We start from the raw sequence: 19,149 nt of genomic DNA, 5'->3' as shown, positions 1-19,149 counted from the left end.
AAAGCCTAGCCACAGAGACTGAATCCCACTAAAAGCTGAGTTGAGAGGACACATTCAAGAGTGTGAGGAGCTTGAAAAGCAGCCTAGTAGTGCCGCATGTCTTTTTTTTTTTTTTTTTTTTTGAGATGAAGTTTCGCTCTTGTTGCCCAGAATGGAGTGCAATGGCGCAATCTCGGCTCACCACAACCTCCACCTCCCAGGTTCAAGCAATTCTCCTGCCTCAGCCTCCCAAGTAGCTGGGATTATAGGCATGCACCACCACGCCCGGCTAATTTTGTATTTTTAGTAGAGACTGGGTTTCTCCATGTTGAGGCTGGTCTCGAACTCCTGACCTCAGGTGATCTGCCTGCCTTGGCCTCCCAAAGTGCTGGGATTACAGGCGTGAGCCACCGGGCCCGGCCGTGGTGCCACATGTCTTGAGGGAAGCTCTTAAAAGAATAAGGGCTCATGATTCAAACGGCCAGGGTTGAAATCTTGGTACTGTGGCTTGGTGGGCTATGTTGACCTTGGAGAATTTCTATCCTCTCTACCACCTCAGTCTCCCCACATAACAAAATTCCACTTTGGAAGGTGGAGCTAATATGAGGACTAAATGAGATTATTTGTAAAGTCCCCAGCATAACGTCTCATATGTAGCAAGTGTCTAGTCAATGTCTATGCTTATTAGAGGGTCTGCCCATGAGTCTCTGTTTAAACTGTGTTGGCTGGCACTGGGGACATCCTTGTGGTAGGAGTAGACTCCTCAGAAGCAGGATCATGGTTGGGAGCCCCAGGCTCTGGAGTTACATGGCCACAGATCAAATCCTGGCTTTGCCAATTTCCTAATGGGGCAAGTTTGGACAAGTTATTTAACTTCTCAGGACCTCAGTTTCCTCATCTATAAAGTAGAGATGACATGAAAAGTGTTGTCGAAAGACAACAATGAAATGATACCTGTAAAATGCTTGGAAAAGCATGACACATAGTAAGTATTTGATAAATGTTTGCTGGTTTTTATAATAATCATAATCATACTTGTAGTTTTTATTTTATTGAACTCTCAAGGAGGAAATTGAGAGCCAAGTTCATTTCGAGCAAAGCTTCAAAGCTCTCTTATCTGTACAGTCTTCTCCAGTTCTGGCTGACTGGCACAGTGGAGCCTAGGACTAGATCTCATGCCTCCCCACTCCCTATTCCGAGAGCTGCTGTGTAGACGTACCATTATGGCTGAACTATAAACAGCGGGGCTTGGACTCTGCTTGCAGAAGCCATGATGTTCCCCTCTGGCTGGGCACAGTTCTTACCCAAAGGACGAAAGCCATCCCTCCTGTCCCTCTTCCTCTCACTAGACACATTGCCAAGGCTGCCAAGAACAGTGGTAAGGCATATGCTCCTAAGCTCTGTGTTGTCAAAGGCTTTGCACTCCCACATACCATAGCTGGTTTGGAGGTGCAAAAAAAAAAAAAAAAAAGACCAGGAAGAGCAGCATGTCTAAAACGCAAGCTCCTGATAGAGAACGGCTAAAGGTTTCTCTTTCCTCTGAGTCCCTTAGCACAGAGAATGCTCAAATACTGCAAAGAATAAGGTTTGCTACTTGGGAGGCTGAGGCAGGAGAATCACTTGAACCCGGGAGGTAGAGGTTGCAGTGAGCTGAGATCGCACCATTGTACTCCAGCCTGGGCAAAAAGAGTGAAACTCCATCTCAAAAAAAAAAAAAAAAAAGAATAAGGTTTCGGATTGGGGCTAGGGCTAATAGGGACAGAAAAGCAAGAAAAAACCCTGGGCCACTGGCAGGGAACTGGAACCACACATCCCAAGACCCAGGAGGCTCTGCTCAGCCTCGGGATTCCTAACAAGCCCAAGGACTGCTCCACTGGCCTCCCTTCTTAAATATACAGAGCGAACCTTCCAGAAGAGACCAACGCAGGCCAGCTTGGGCCTGCTCAGCTGGAGGGAGGTCTTTCTTTTGCTCAGTGATGGGGCTACTGAGACTCAGGATTAAACACTTTAAAAATAATAATAATAACTATATTATAGTAATTAGGACTTACTGAACACTTAAAATGTACCAGCTCTGCACTGCTGGTTTAAACAGATTATCTCAATCAATGCTCACAACAACTCTAGGAGGCATTATGTCATTTAACAGATGGCCTCTCTGAGGCACAGAGGAGTTAGGTGACTTGTTCAAGGTCACACAGTTTAGAAAGAATTGGAACTGGAAGAGAATTCAAACTCAGATTGTCTTGCAATAAAACCTGGGAACTGGGCCACTCTCTGCTGAGAAGAGGGTGCTTTGCCAGAGAAGACTCATTCTCACTTTGACTCCCATTCTAGACATGGTCACAGCATTCTCCCTGTGCCGTCTGCTGCCTTACACCTTTATCAAGCTTATATACAAATATATGTATATATATTCATATGCATGCATAAATACATACGTGCATATATAATGTAAATTATCCCCCTATGACTCAATAAAGTTATTTTAATTTTGTATTTGGGAAATCGACTGGTCCATAATTGTTTATGCTTTACCTGAATCAGACCTCAGGCCAGACAGCATGGTTTGCTCCTGCTGCAAGGGTGAAGGTACACTGGGAACCACCAGGGCCACGGAGCAGATCTTAACCAGGGCTTGCACCTGCATTCCCTGTCCCCAGCCCCAGGGGATTGAGAGTCAAGGCCACCATCAGCCTTCTTCCTAGCTCCCTTATTCATCCAACCACATTATCCCCAAACTGCCACAGAACTGGCTGCCATGTGGGCATTTTTACCTCTGAAGCCAAAGGAGCAATTAGTCCTTTTAAATAATTACTTTTGTGATGACAGCGATACCCACACCATTCTCAGTCCTTAATCAAAGTTACCAGCAGGTGAATTCACAGCATTTGCCCTAAGGATGTTGCAACAGCTTACTGACTTCCTGTTTCAATATGACTGTCGTTTCAAAGGACTACTCCCAAATAAGAGAAAAAAAAATCCATGTACATGTGAAAGGCAACTGAATATAATACATACAATCATTTGTGTTTTTACAAATGAATTGAATTGTGAATCAAGCTTGGGGAATGTATTTGATTCTCTTGGGATTACATCACAGATAATTTCATAGCCTTATAATGTGTTTTGAAACAGACATTTTTCACGTTCCCAGGGGCAACATCTGAGGTATTATTGCTGGGGTTTCAAGGGTTTTCATGACCAATAATGCAGCACTGGGAGGCCAAGTCTGGATCCATTATAGGTACACTTTATTGACTGTAAGCCATTTGGAAATATACATAGTATGCTGATCTTTATCAGTCTTGGTGTCAGACCCAGGCTAGGCAGCACATACTGACAGTGGCAGGCACTCAAGTTGATCAAAAGACAAGCTTGCCTAAGATGACCCCCAGGGCCTTTATCAAACCCATCAGATATGATTAAGAATAGGGCAAGCTTCAGATTGTAAAACATCACAGAGGCTTTTGAGGCCTCAAAAGAAACTTTGACTCTCCTCTTCTTCCAAACATTTACATCCTCCTGGTTTTGCTTGTTTTCTGTGGGCCTCTGTGGACAACCTATCACTGTATTATTTGCCAACTTGAAATAAAATAGGTCCTAATGCTCAGTACCCCCATGTTGTTAGAGTCAACAATGTTTGGCTACTGAAACCCCAGATCTCTAAACTAAAATCTGCATTTCTGAGAACCTCCCTTAACGAAGTCTTGAACACTCTCGCCATTGAGATTTTCTGGTCTATATAGACTTACCCACTTGCCTCCCTTCCCTTTCCCACCACAAGATGATCAACTCCAGGAGATACCAGCCTTGAAAGAAATGTCCATAAATGCAAGCAAGTCCTTATAAAGTTAGAGACAAAAGATTCAATGTAGAGAATTCAACCTCTAATCCATCTGCAGATAACCTACTATTATATTATTTGCCAACTTGAGGGAATTGCTTAGTTCTATTAATACCAAATGGTCAAATTCAACAATAATTGGATACTCAAAAGTATGAGTTCTGAAGTCCGAACAGACAAATCTGGCCCCAGAATATAGCGCTTGCAGAGGATCTCTCTGATGGTTACTTGCATCAGGAGCATCTCAAGGCTGGCCAAGCCACCCTAACCCCATCCCACCTCCATCTCAGTCCTTCAAAAGATTACTTAATTACCCTGGACTTAAGCCCTCATACAGAAGACAATTAGTCTCTCAGCTTTCAGCAGAAAGAAACTATTACCAAGAAATGCTTATCCGGCCATTACAATATTGTCTCAGACCCTCTGTAATTCATACATATTTACCAAGTGTCTACTAGATGCTGGGCACTTTGCTAGGTGCTGGCGATACAATAGTTAACAAAACATAGACGCTGCCCTACCCTGATGGACTATTCACAAGGACACGGCTTCCAAAATAATAGTGGCTCCTTCCAAAGTCATCTGAGCTCATTCCCCACCTCCTGTTGTGAATGGAATGGGGCAAGAGCAGAGAGAGCCGGGCAACCCTCTCTGGCATTTGAGAATGACCAACCTTGAAAAGAATTTCAGCTAGGCTTAAAAGCAGGACCAATCCTCTTCTCTCCGGCAACCCCATGCCCTTGCCTTCACAGAAAACTCTGACTAGGACGTGGAGTTGGCAGAGAGGATAATGCTTCTGAGTTTCACAAAGCAGCCTGAGCCAAAACCAATCTCCACTCAGGGCAGAATAAAGCAGTGGGTTGTCTGGATGGCTGAATGTCTCTCTCTGAGACAATGGTGTGTTTATGTGTAGGAGGGTCAGGAGCAGGTTGTTAACATAAAACCCACCGTAAACAGAGCTGTTAATTCAGTTGCTGGCAGGGGCTTCTGTTATCTTCTGAATACCTCCCAGAGGGTATAAGCCCTACCTTTTCATTTGAGTTGGCAGCAGAGTTATTTTTTTGCACCTGTTGCTCTGCTCCGATAACAACGCAGTTAAGCATTGATTTGTAGGAAAATAAACAGAAAAAAGCAAAGAAAGGCATCTGCCCAAACAGCCTGAGCTGGTTTGACTGAGTGTTCATGCCAATTTGTTTTTCCTATAAAAACCAAAGAAAAACCTGCGTTTTCAGTTTGGATGCTACATTTTCACTCCCTCAATATAAAAGGGGGTATCAAATAGGCCAGAGGGAGATGGCAAGGCTGAGAAGCCAGAAGACGTTGTACTTTTCCATTGGCTGGTTCTGTGAGGGCACTCAGGGGTGTCCATGGTCTGCAAAGTGACATGGCCAGCCTCCAGCCAGCCCAGGTTCAGATCATGAATCAGATTAACAAGGGCAGAGAAAAGACTGCTGGGATACGATCGAAACCAAAACCACACTCTTCTAAATGGTTGACTTCCAAAAGTCAATACAGTTTAGGGAGTAGGTGTAGTCTCTAGGTTACCTCCTAAAGTGGAGGCTCAGTGTACCCAGATCTCAGTCAAGCCTCTCCCCCAGACATCCTACATCCAGCCCTGGGCAAAAAGCATAATTTGAAAACCCCTGGTTCCCGGACCACAGTTTTCCCATCGCATAAATGAGGCTAGCCACACCTACCTCAAAATCGGGCTGTGTAGACCCACTCATCTCCTGCCAAGAGATTTGAGGCCTCAGGTCCCAGGTGGAAAGGGCCTGAGATGTCCTAGATGTGATTTCTGTCCTAATCCAAGCATCATCACATGCTCACTTCTCATTAATTTGTCAATGTCACATGATAAGCTAAGTCCAAAAAGGGCCACAAGGAGCTAAACAAATCGCCCAAATGGAGATCATGAACAACATTAATTAAGCAATGGCATCAGCACTCAGCCTTCAGCACACACAGTCAGAGGGAGCTTTTGAATATCTCTTTTTGGCCGGGCGCAGTGGCTCATGCTTTTAATCCCAGCACTTTGGGAGTCCGAGGCGGGCATATCACTTGAGGTCAGGAGTTCAAGACCAATGTAGTTAATATGGTGAAACCCCGTCTCTACTAAAAATATACAAATTAGCCAGGCATGGTGGCATGTGCCTGTAGTCCCAGCTACTTGGGAGGCTGAGGCAGGAGAATCACTTGAACCCAGGAGGTGGAGGTTGCAGTGAGCCATGACTGTGCCACTGCACACCCAGCCTGGGCAACCAAGTAAGACTCCATCTCAAAAATAAAAATAAAAATAAAATAATATAATATCTCTTTTTAAGCTTTGTAGAAGAAAGCACAGTCAAGGCAACATGCAACATTTCCCCAGACAAACACCTTGCCCCAGTGTTCTCCGGGCCGTTGGGGGTTCATTACTACCAGACCACTGGCTTCATGGGGGAGGGGGGCTTATGGCAGTGGGGCCTCAGAAATGTTGCCTCTCCAGGAGCATTAAGAACTGGGTGTTCCGACAGGGGAGGGATATGGCTGACTGAGCGTTCCCAGGCATTCTTGTTATGAGCAGCGTAGGGAGTGGAGTGCTTAGAACCAAATCGGGCAGCAGAAAAATAAAAGATTTAACAACACCCTTAGTTGACTGATAAATAAGACCAACTGTGCAGGAATGTAGGAAGGGTGGAGGACGGTAAGGGGTGGGGATTGGAGCCAGGGAGGGGTCAGGATGAACTAGGACAATGGATTTGACCATTTCAAGAGTCAAGTTTCCTCCTAGGAAAAGACCAAGATGTTCAAGTCAAGGAAAGAGCAACAGCCCCCATCTCAGAATCTTGAAGATTATATAATTAGAAAACAACAACAAAAACTATGACAGTGATAATAGTTCATATTTGTTGAGGGTTTAAATTGTGCTAGAAATAGAACTAGTCATTACATGAATTACCTCATTTAATCCTCACAATAACCCTGAATGTTAGTACTAATATAAGCACCATTTTACAGAGAGAGGTTAAGCAACTTTTCTAAAGACACAAAGCTAGCAAATGGACTGGATATATTATAATAAGTGTACTTGGGAAGGGGTGGGGAAAGCAACATAGTTCTTTTGAAATTACTTGAAAATGGATCCTTGTGTTTCTAAAGAGAAGGAGGATGTCTGTTAGGACGTTATACTTTTAATTTCAAAGTTGAGATCCTTTAAGCACGATTCCCACAACTTTTTCCACCAAATATAAACAGGAGACATATTGATCATCCTTGTACCCTAATATGGAAGCTCCCTTTCAGTGCAAATCAGTCTGGATGCTACAGAAACACAGTTCACAGCCACTCAAACCCATCTATCAGAACTTCAGTCTGGCTTCCTGTTAGAGGCCCCAGATTGACTCAGGGGTTAGGACTGGCTGTCTGAAGCCACCTCAGACTTATTAACCATGATAAAAGAGCAGTAATAACAGCAAGAAAAAAAAAACCTTGGGAAATGAAGGGTGAATTATGGCTCTTTTGGAAGAGCACCTGATGTCTCAGCCATCACAGATTGGTCCTGATGACAGGCTTGCTTGTGTTATGAACATCACTGACTGACCAGAGAAAGACCATGAATATGTTATTGGGGGAGCCTGAATTCCATCCCTCAGGCAAAGAAATCGAGGAAAAGTCTTCCCCTCTTCCACCATCACTACGTCCACATCCCTGTTTTGAATTTTGGAACAGTCTATAAAAACTTAGCCCTAAAACACCAACAGAACTTCATGAGAATTATTTCATTAGCATCCTTGCAGCTTAAGAAGCAAATAACATCTGAATTTTCTCACAAATTAGACGACCTCTCCTTTAGAAGAAGTAAAGTTTCCTTTTATAGAGATAATCATTCAATAGCAGGAAAGCTGAGTTTGTTTTTAGAGCCTTCCTATGAGAACACTAGACTCGTGGCACACCAGGTCTCATTTTTCCTTCCAGAACAGACTTTATTCTGTTTCTCCTGGCTCACTGGTTTACGTAGCAAGCCCTCTGTAAAATAAAATCATGAAAAACCCACCAGTATTGCCAGCAACTCCCTACCAGAAAGGTTTTTCAAGGGATTAAATCCCTTTCAGCCAATTATTCAGCCATCTTTCCAGTTGTTTGGAGGAAAGCTTTGGAGCTCAAACAAAACTGGAAAACTCACTAACTCAAAAACGACATCCTCCCTCCTCAACAGGCCATAGCTTTCCACCAGAGGTTGCGTAGCTGAGCCTGATGAAAATGAGGAGAGGGCTCTCCGCAGCAGCTTCCCAGACTCCCAGTCTCAGGAGTTGTCATACATTCCATTTCACCATAACCAGAGGCAGGACCAGCTACATCATTTGCAGAGCTCAGTGTAAAAGGAACATGCAGGGCCCTTTGTTCAAAACTTACGAAGAATTTTAAGATGGCAACAGCAGAGCCTTAAACCAAACATGGAACCTTTCTAAGCATGGGGCCCCGTGGAACTGCACAGGTTGCACACTCGTGACATCAGCCATCTCCAAAGGGTCAGTCCCCACTTTTGCCTTCACCTGTACCCATGTTTCATTACCGTGGGTGGGCAGGGGATCTCTTCTGTCTTTGTTCCATGCACTACCTCCTGAGGTCATTGGGAGGATTAAACTAAACATGACATTGAACAGGACTGTAACCACCTGGCTTACAGCAGGCACTCAACAAATTACCATTATCATTCTTATTATCATCTTCATTATGCCAAAGTCCCTTCACAACTCCAAGGCTACCCATAGGCAGGAACATATGGGAAGATCATATTCCCCTTTTGGCAGAGAACATCTATCAACTGGCGCTGTTCAGAAGTCATTTCGTTAGTCGTGTGTGAGAGAATGCTGTAAATGAGGTGTTCTTAACCTTTCATCTGTACGATGGATCTGTTTTGTAATCTAGTGAGGCCTACAGGCCTCTTCTCAAAATAATATTTTTACATGACAAATTAAAATATTATAAGATTTAAAAAAATTTATATTAAAAGACAATGTCAAAATACTTTTTAAAATAAATGTGTGATATCATATTATGTTGGTGCAAAAGTAATTACAGAGTTTTTTTTTATTTTTTAATTTTTTTGAGACAGAGTCTCACTCTGTTGCTCAGGCTAGAGTGCAGTGGTGTGATCTTGGCTCACTGCAGCCTCTGCTTCCCAGGTTCAAATGATTCTCCTGCCTCAGCCTCCCAAGTAGCTGGGATTACAGGTGTGTGCTACCACACCTGTATTTTTAGTAGAGATGGGGTTTCGCCATGTTGGCCAGACTGGCTGTTTTTGTAATTATTTTTAATGGCAAGAACCACAATTACTTTTGCACCAACCTGATAACAATATATGTGCTTCCTTGTTAATACATTAAATAAGAATATCTACCTAGTGCAGATCTAACTTGATATCAAATACCCACTTTTTGTGATATATGTAATAGGTGTAATAAGACATGAAAATGTGATTTATCCTGGTGATAGTCACAATTGCAGCTAATACTACCATGGAGTTTTGCCTACATTCATATTGAAAGAAAATGTTAAATTCTAGTTAGAGATTATTGAAAATAAAGACAATTTTTTTTTACATCCAAGTTCACAGAAACCCTGAATTTACCCTTGGACCCCAAGTTAGGGATCCTTGCTGTTTTACTAATAATAAGAACTACTTGTTCAATTCAAATAGGCTCTAGAAACCACATTTGCATGACCAGAAACCTCATTTGAATAATTTACCAAGAGGTAGACCCCAGAGTGTCTGGGCAAAAGAAGTAAGTAGAATTTTTTTTCCCAAAGCCTCTAGAATGCCCAAGATTCATGACCTCAGCATCAGTGGTCAGTAGACATCTGGAGACATGATCAAGAATTTTAGGGGTGGGCAACGGTATACTCACTCCTAAAAGCTAGTCATGTGAACTGCCTGGAGGAGAATCAGTATTTTCTGCAGGTCCCTACTTGCCAGGCATCAGGACACAAGAACAGGAATGTGCTGCATACCCAATCACCCCAAGTCACCCCAGGTCTCCCAGGACCTCCTTGGTTGTGGTTTGCAGTTGACTCAAAACAAGGTTCAATTTGGAGGTCCCCCCTTAATATGGTTCATGCATCTCCCTGCTACCCACCTTCCCAATAAAAACCCTATTGCATTTCTTTCCTAAGGTCACAGTGAAGAACCAATGTTGATCGCCACACACACACACACACACACACACACACACAAACCAAAATCCCAGAATTTAATATCCATTCACTCTGACCCAACAGAAACTCACTGAAAACACCCAAATTGAAGACTTCCCTTGATGTTCATTCCACAAATTACTAATTATTTACTCACAAGCTTTTGTTCAGGTGCTTTCACATTCTTTGTTAATTTAATCTTTACAACAGCCCAATGCAGTAGATGTTATTAACTCCATTTTCCAGATGAGAAAACTTAGATGCTAGAGCTTATATAACTCACTCAAAGTCATTCAACTACCCAGTGGTAGAGTCCAGCTTAAACTCAGGTGTCTGGACTCTAAGTCCAGTGTTCTTTACACCACATCTCAGCAGCTTCCAAGCCATAAAATCTCTTAGCCTCCTACCCCTTCAGATACACATGCAGTCAAATTTTACTCCATCAACATTCCTTGACCCACAGCCTTCTGCCTAGTGGAATTAAGATGACTAAAAGGTGAGCTAGCTGCACTCTAATTTTCTAAGTGGGCATGATCAAGACAGAGGCTGAATTTAGAGTCAAATCTAGAGTACACTGCAAAGACAAAGCAAGTCTTATCATTAGTCAGCCTCATGACTAGATGAAATGAGGCTGACTAGATGAAATCATGACAAGATTGAAAATTGCTCTCATCTTTCAGACTCTGCTCACCTTATTGTCCAGAATATATCATCAGCCCTACTGAGGAGATTTTTTTTAAGGTTCCTAAGAAGAAGCCTGGAATAACCTCCACAAGATGACCATATTCTCCAATCTCCATTGCTCTATTCAAAAAGTAGAAGACCCTCTTCTTATTCCAGGAAAAGCTCAACAGACTTTTGGGGGATGTTGTATCAGGCTAAGAAAGGGCTGGACAGGCAACTGAAATGTTTTGAAGCCACAGTTGGGCCAACAAGAGCCCAGCCCCCAAGATTATTTATTGTGCTTCTGTGATAGAAAGTGGGGTGGAAAAGCAGCTATGAAATTTGATGTTCATAATTGCAACAACATCAAAGAAAAAGGACATTGAGACAAGGTCATACAAAGATAAAAATAAGTTGTTATGGTAAAATGACAGGGTTAATGAGGTGGTCTGTTAGTCTAAAAATCCAACTACTATAATAGGCATTTTGGTTTCTTTTTATTTTTGGCTTTGTTTTAATCAGAAAGCACATTTTGTATGCACCTATACTGGCCATATTTTAAATAAGTAGGCAAGTACCCCTAGTAACAACTAAGATGCTAAAAAAACAAAACAAACAAAAAAAAAGAAGGGAGGAAGCCTCCCAGAGGCCAGGGTGTGTGGTGAGATTGGAGGAGGAGAGATAATGCAGACCAATTGACCAGAACAAGGGGCCCGGCCCCGTAAAACAAACCAAAGACAGAATGCGGTTAGGTGCTTGTGAAATAAGTTTTCATAGGAGTATTTTACAGGGTGTCTCTTTTAAAACAAGGTCAATTAAAACCCTAGGAGCCTCTTTAAATGGGCCACCCTGCTTGGCCCTGTTGCAAGTTCTGGTTTCTCCAGATACAAGGTTGACGCTTTCTGGGCACATCAGGGTCTCCAGGTTAGGCTGCTCAGTGGCTGGGGCAGCCACAGGGTCTTCCTCTAGGAGAAGTGAGTCCACATACGTTCGATCTACTCAGTAAGTCATGGATAATCAGTCAAGCAAGCTCATCAGTACCATACAAACTCAGTAGACACCACGAGTGCCTAAATGTCCATTTTCTGGCGGGCTGCTTTGGCGTTTTATAGAAGACACCAGTAGAGCACCTGCCCCTGTGCATAGGCTGTTCCCTGCCATCACAAAACAGTCTGTTTCATCCACTTCTACATTCCCACCAGCTTGAGACACATGAGGCAAATTGGCAAAGCTGGGATGTTGTCATGGGAGTGGATTCTAACATCCTTAATAAAGGCTCCAGGTGTCAGGTCTTAGTACCTCCACTAGTATAGCCTTTAGCCAAAATTCTGAAGGCCCTAAAGAATCCATTTAAGGGCTCTTGCTAATCTTTCCTGCCTCATCCTTAGAAGGCTTCTCCCACCTGTTCTCAGCTCTCACAGATTCGTGCTTATCCTGCTGACCCCCAGGTACTCCCACCACCCCCAATCACCACAGCCACAGAATCTGAGGGTTAAAATGGATCTTAAAGATGGTCAGGTTCAAACCCTTTTGCCTAGAGGAGGAAACTAAAGCCTGGCAAAGGGGAATGTGTGCTCTGGGACACACAGCTCTGCCAGTGCTAGACCAGGTCCCTAGACTGCCGTCCAGCACACCACCTCACATCCCGCCTTCCCTGCACTGTGCTCCCATCACTCCAAAGCTGGAGTTCAAAATTCTTCAAGGAAGACTCTTAAAGAAATATTTCCACCCCCCTCTGAAGAATAATAAACATTTTAGCAAATAACTCTGAGGGATCCCTGGAAATTTCTACTTCAGCACATCCTGGTTTCCGGACATCAATGTCATTTGGCTTGAAACTATGTCCCACCCTAAGAATAGCTGTGGTGAGGAGCCATTCTCCTCACTGCACTGTTTGTTTCCTGCACAGCTTAGTAGCTTGGCCCTTTGAAACCCCGTTCAATTTAAGTAAACACGTTTTTAATAACAGCAAGATTGTTTGCTCTTTAGAACAAATCTATTATTTTAAAATCATATTCTTAAAAATTAGATATGAAAAATGTCAAATAAAGTTAATTATCTATGCCCTCCTTTCAGTTATAGAGCAAGAGATTTAAGAGAACCTGGGCAAGGTGTGGCTGCCCTCCTGCCTCTGTCTTCAGATGGCAATCCCCGCCGCAGACCCGGCTTACCCAAGCTGAAAGCCACAGCGCCGCGTTCGGTTTCCCAGTAACAAAGGCAGGGTGAGAATGTGGTCTCTAGACACCCAGGCTGCAGTGGAGCCAATGCCTCCCAACCAGGGCCCCACCCACAACAGAAATGAGTGTCACGTCAACTCTACCAGAGAGCGATCTTAACAAGAGAAATGGGCTGAAACGGCAGCAAAATGGTATCCCTGAAAATCAGGTTCAAGCTTTAGATTGAGTTCCTTAAAACCACAACATTGCTTCTCAAGTGTGTTAGCAGATTCTGCCACGGGATTCTTGCTCACCACCCCACCCCTAACCCAGAGGTCTTCGTAAATCACATCTGTATGAAAGGGCATAGAGATGACTCCATATGGAGGAAGGGAGAAAAGACAATAACTTCTCAATAATTTGTACAAGCTTCTATGTCTGTGTTTGATACTGTGACATGAAGCAGGGGTCTTGCCCTGGGCTTTCAGAAAAGCAAGATGGTCTAACGATCACAACCCAGTGCTCAAATCCCCAAATTTGTGGAGATTGGGTGGGTCGGGGGCATGGGAAAGATATAGAGGAAATAAAATATCGCAAGATTCCAGAAAGCGAAATTCTACTTCCTCAGAAGTGAACTTTGGCCAAAAGCACTCACGTTCTGACCTGAGACCCGATAGGAGCTCCTTCCAGTTTCCAATTCGCTAATTGAATGCAACCTAGTAAACCTTTTAACCTCTCAGTTTCCATTTTGTCTCATACCTTCAAGGAGTCAGAAAGATATTGAAAGAAGATCAGGGTAAAGTTGGTCAATTAATGGGAGCATTTAGGGTACCCATAAACATGGAATCGCGAGTGGGAATGTAGGGCTTTCCTGACGTCCACAAAGGCCAAAGATACTTCCACTGGGAGATCACGATAGACTAATAGATTAAAAATGAAAACAATATGGCTGGGCACGGTGGCTGAAGCCTATAATCCCAGCACTTTGGGAGGCTGAGGCAGGTGGATCACCTGAGGTCAGGAGTTCAAAACCAGCCTGGCTGACATGGTAAAACCCCGTCTCTACTAAAAATACAAAACTTAACTGGGCATAGTGGCGAGCACATGTAATCCCAGCTACTCGGGGGGCTGAGTTGGGAGAATCACTTGAACCTGGGAGGCGGAGGTTGCAGTCAGCCAAGATCATGCCACTGCACTCCAGGCTGGGCGACGGAGACTTCATCTCAAAAAAAAACCAAAAAGGATTGTTTGAATTGAACAAATAGGTGCTTTTTAACCAAAAAAATAACAAATACAATTGAATTTGAGCCTTTTCATAACAAACGAGGCCTGAATCAAACACGTCACCCTACCCACACTACCTTGAGAGGTCTTGATGAAGGCTACCATCTTGCGCGGTCATGTAAGAGAACTTACAGCACAGCTGTTCCCTCAAAGTGACTTTCATTTAAAATGCCTCTGTAAAATATTTTGGAAACACGGTGAAGTATTGTCTCCATTACATTTATTATTTTTTCAAGTTCAACTACAGACCTCCAAATGACTCCCAATTCACATTCCATCATGGTTTTTAAATACCATTAGCCATTTGTGTGAAAATGGTGTTGTCTACATGACTCCATATTATAAGAAGATGGAATTGGTGAGTTATTTCATCATCCCAGAATTTTAGGTCACAAAAAGAGGAAAAGTGGATCCTCTGCAAACTTCAAATGCAGCTATTAAAGTCATCCTTAAAATCTCTTAAGAGCCTTTTCTGATAGTATCTCCTAGCCATGAAATTCTTCCTAATAACGTATCTTCTTCTTTTCTGTTAGAAATAAATTTTTCCCCTGACCCCAGTGGAATTAACACACAGTCACACAGAATCTCTAATTGCCCTTTTACACATTGAAAGACTATCAACACATCTTTACCTCCATGGCTGCAGAACCAACTCCTGAATTAGACTTCCATCAGTAAGTTCTTGGAATCCATTCACTCACTTTCTCCCTGTTACCAAGGTGAGTGCAGATAACCAGCAGAGACACCTGTGAACTTGAACCCAGAAGCATACACTCTCCATCTTAAAAACACACACTCCCACCATCCTGGGAGCATGGTAAATCAGCAAAGATGGACGGTGAAAATGTCGCTTTCTCACCTCAGCCTGATATTTACCAACAAGAAGTTAATTTCCCACTGTTCCCAGATCAGTCCACATTGGGGCTAACACTTCTCCACAATGTCCAAGCAAAATCAAAAGAATCCCTGTCTCAGAAGGCATTTGTTGCTGCTGAGTCACAACTGCCTGTCTGATCATAGTCTCCCAAAATGGAGTAAACAAAGGGTTAGTTTGTCCCCTTGTTACACAGTGAAGCCCTTTGCCAAAACTGATTGTTGTATTTTCTGGACAAAATGGAGTAAACAAAGGGTTAGTTTGTAAACAAAGGGTTAGCTTGTCCCCTTGTTATACAGTGAAGCCCTTTGCCAAAATTGATTTTTGTTTTTTCTGAATTTTTGTTTTTGTAGATATTCAGCTCTCCCCAATACCTCTGCCTGCCTTGGCTGCCTGGCCACTTTTTCCAGTGTGATTGTGTATGTTCTTGCCTATTTCTAGCCATTTTCCAGTCCTGGAACATATTAAAAACAAATTGGCCTTTCCATGTAGCTCATAAGTCAGAAAAATTACCAGCAGAAGACATCTCTAGAAAGCGAGACCGTGTACTCTGAGCCCTAACAGCTACTTAGCCAACCACTTCTTCTCTGAGCTATATCAGAGCCACCTATCTCTAGCTGCCTATTTGTTCCAGAAGAATTCAACCCAGGGGAATGGTTTTGCCACCCAGGCATAGGGAAACGAGGGGGCTTTTAAATTCACAGAGATTAGAAGTCCAGACAATGCAGGAAATTCACAGATAATATCCAAAGTAGCCAACCTGCCCTCCAAAATAAAATTCTGATTTGACCCAGTGAGGTAAGCCCAGGTAAGGTGAGCTTCACTTCCTGCCAGCCGTCTCCAAGAGTCTGTTCTAGTTTCATCTGTCCAGTTTAAAGCAGGCTTCTCTTTCCACTCAAGTGTTTGGATTCCAGATTCAAAAGAAGTTTTAAAAATCAGGACTTACCTCATTTACCTAAAGATTCTGGGTGGGAAATCCAATAGCTGTGGCTGTTGGAGGGGAGGCAGCAGGCTGCAATCTCACCAGCTCCTATAGGGATGGGGCACCACGGGTGTTATCAAGTCTGAGCCCTCATCAGAGTGAAGATAAATGCATATAACAATAATTTTAAATCATTTTGTAGGATGTTAAGCAATAAGCCACCAACCGGGAATTCCCTAAGTCACTTCCCCCTCTTCTGATTGGCTACCCAGCCCTTTAAAAAAATAAAATAAAGGATTACAAACACTGGCTCATTTGCATTTGGCCAACTCACACGTTAGTGTTCAAACAAAACAGGTCTAACCAGGTAATGCCTGTGTCTCAAGAACAGAGAGACAACCTGTTAATGGATGAGGAATTGATTTGGTGGTGACTGTTCTTTTCAGCTCAGAGGCTGTTTCAGGTGAAAAGCACCCTGCTCACCAAAGACACCATCGGGAAGAGGGAATGTAAAAGCAAAGTGAGTAGAAGTCCAAATCTGGAGGAGATGATGGTATGGAGGGGCCCTCTTGAGCACCTGTCTCATTTATTAGTCTGTATTTAGTCCACCCTGCTTTGGCATCAAGATCTTTTCCCTAGCTCTATAAGTACCAGGCTCTGAAGGGGCTCCCAGCAAGTTCCCTCTCCAGGCACCATGACTGCCTTCTTGACAGAGACTCTTGGCAATTCAATGGACTTTGAAAAGCCTATCTCCCCTGGCCCCAGGTAAGAGCCTTGAGAGGTTTGAAAGGGAAGGTCCTGGGAGGGAGGGTACCTTATGAGGAGATGCTTAGGTCAAGCAGTCAACTCTCAAATATGCAAGAGCTGATTATCCGGTTGGTGGATTATCTAGGTTCTTCACTTCCTCTTGACACTTACATGATCTTTTTTAAAAGGTTTATTGACACTCCCTATAAGAGTTAGAGATGAGAAGACCAAAATGCTGAAACTGGAAATAAAAAAGCACAGTTTGGACAAGAAGAAGGTGGAATATTAGGGAGGATCTACGGATTCAAATACCCAGGCAACCTCTATTCCCTTGGGCCAAGGGACATATGGGGAGTTACCTGTACCTGCTTCACTGGGTCACAAATGTACCTTCTCCCATACGGGTGAATGACTGCTCCTAGCAAAGAAAAATACCATCCCCCAACCATTAACTTTCTCTGTTGAACCTTCCAGGACACTGGCCTGGCATGAGCAAAGTGTCTAAGCAGATTTCTTTGACTCAACGGGCCTCCCTTTTGTGGGAGAGGGAAGGGAAGTTGAGATTTGGCAGAGATAAAGATTTTGTGATCAAAACCAAGAAGTTACTTGTGTTAAAAAGAAAAAAAAAGGTCTGCTTATGGTCAAAGGCTGACTGAATAGAATAAAAACTGGTTATTATATTAAGGGGGAACAGTGAGTGTGCAGTAGTATTAGTCTTTTCTTACTTATTTTTTCTAGTTTCTACACAAATTCAGAGGTTTCTGAAAGTGTAAAAGACTCAGTGGGAAAACAAGGGTGGACTTGGGAAGGTCTTGGAAGCTGGGCAGGTCTTGAAGAAGGGCTTGAGGCTTTGGTCAGTGCAGTTTAGGGGAGTTCTAATAAATCCCTCTGCCTCCCTAACCTGCCCCAGACATTCCCACCCTTCCCAACTGTTCAACCCTGTGAACTTGCCAAGGGCCCTGTGAAAATGCAAATGTAAACCCCGCCCCATATACACACTGATAAAAACAACAAATTTCATTATTTCCCATTATCACATTAGCCCCAATTAGTCTATCAGTTCCAGATCTGAGAGCAGGGCCCTGAGGGAATGGCCTGCTGGAGTTTTGCTTGAGAGACAAATCAGGCACAACCTGAAGTAACTACATTCCACCCACTGCAGGGCATTTGTGTGTAGTGATGGTGAAGGGGGGTGGGTGGCGGGGCACTCATGAGAAAAGGGAAGCATTATTGCTAGAGCCCGTGGGACTCCAGGGAAACAAACTTGGCCTTCTTTACACCATTGCCTGAGATTAACCTGAGACAGCAGGGTGGGAGTAGAAGGGCTAGGGTTGTGTGGTCAAGAGATAGTGAACTTCAAATGCAACCACAAAAGTGATGTGGCTCTCTGACCCAGTCCCAATCACCTTTAATTATAGGCCCTGTAATTTATAGCTGAAGAATTCTGGTTAAATCTCCATTTCTTTATCCACTTGTATTTAGTCCATTTTAGATTGGAGGGCTATTGAGACGAGTCATATTGGGGTAGTGATGGTGGGAGGGGAGGGAAAGATGTCACCTCATACTCACAAGCCACTTTATTTGTGGAGGTTTTTTTGTAAATAAAGTACCTAAAAGTGTGCCTGCTACTTGCTGGGTACTTATTAAGTATTGATTCTTCTTTTTACTTGGGTCTTAGTTGAACCTTCCAGAAGAAAAACAAAAATGAAAACAATACCCCTCACCCCCAACCTAAAAAAAAAAACACAAAAAAGCTAGAATTGCAGGTATATTGCATCCATACGGAAAGTCCTTTGGAGTTTGAGGTCTTTCACCCTACTGCCAACTTCAACAAGACAGTACTGGCGATAGATAGATAGATGATAGATAGATAGATAGATAGATAGATAGATAGATAGATAGATAGATAGATGATAGATAGATAATGATGGGATGAGATGGATGTCTCAAGGCCTTCTACTACAAGTCTCAGATATATCAAGTATGTCCTTTATGGATAAGAAGTTTAAAGTGTAATCACAAAATCATCAAACACAGCAGATCCTTAATATGGACACATTGTAAGTTCTCAAGGAGGACTCTGGCAAGAGAGACCTCCAGCACTTGTTCTGTGCTCCTGAATTCTCTGGGGGGCTGATAAAGACATAGCAAAATGAACAGAGTGATAAACAAAGCTGATTGTCTTTATTCTGTGGATGGGAAGAATCAAGAGAGAGAGGCCAAGCAGCTTGCCCTCAAATCAACTGAAACAAACTCTAGAAACCCAATTACTCTGCATAGAAATCTTCCTGGTTGTCCCTACAGGTCAAGGCCCTATCACCCTCTCCAACCTGTGCACAGACACAGAGCCCTTGAGTTGAGTCCTGTGCTGGTCCCCACAGAGGAAAAGGGGAACAGAGCAAAGCAAACCAGGTTGTGTGTGGTGGCCTGGAGACCCGGAGGTCAGTCGGGTTGTCTCCTAGAAGATCCATACTGTAAAACCAAAAACCCTAGGGATCTTAAT

General features: G+C 43.3%; 1 protein-coding gene across 31 annotated transcripts in view, besides 2 other annotated features; it reads right to left on the bottom strand.

Annotated features, from left to right (window-relative positions):
• EHF (ETS homologous factor) overlaps positions 1 to 16,059 on the bottom strand; it is a 42,196-nt gene extending 26,137 nt beyond the window's left edge. For 8 of the 31 annotated variants that reach the window (NR_165391.1, NR_165390.1, NM_001378043.1 and 5 more), the window contains exon 1: positions 15,924 to 16,059. Coding sequence is in view for 5 of the 31 variants with exons in the window: in NM_001206616.2 (NP_001193545.1) it covers positions 4,500 to 4,562 (63 nt within the window). In the remaining 26 variants the exon portion in view is untranslated. The other 23 variants (XM_047426754.1, NM_001378051.1, NM_001378047.1 and 20 more) reach the window with 10 other exon arrangements.
• Positions 2,762 to 2,821: an enhancer, noted in NCBI's record as "active region_4605". NCBI's record gives its function as "activates an Ori minimal core promoter by ATAC-STARR-seq in GM12878 lymphoblastoid cells {active_cell/tissue: GM12878}" and the evidence as "EXISTENCE:reporter gene assay evidence [ECO:0000049][PMID:35858748]".
• Positions 17,759 to 18,158: a transcriptional cis regulatory region, noted in NCBI's record as "candidate enhancer chr11.1780 targeted for multiplex CRISPR interference". NCBI's record gives its function as "positively regulates LMO2 gene expression in K562 cells {active_cell/tissue: K562}" and the evidence as "EXISTENCE:mutant phenotype evidence [ECO:0000015][PMID:30612741]".

Source organism: Homo sapiens, chromosome 11 (assembly GCF_000001405.40).
Source record: "Homo sapiens chromosome 11, GRCh38.p14 Primary Assembly".
Taxonomy (NCBI): domain Eukaryota; kingdom Metazoa; phylum Chordata; class Mammalia; order Primates; family Hominidae; genus Homo; species Homo sapiens.
The sequence above is the reverse complement of the archived record's forward strand: the minus strand, read 5'-3'. Positions and strand labels throughout refer to the sequence as shown.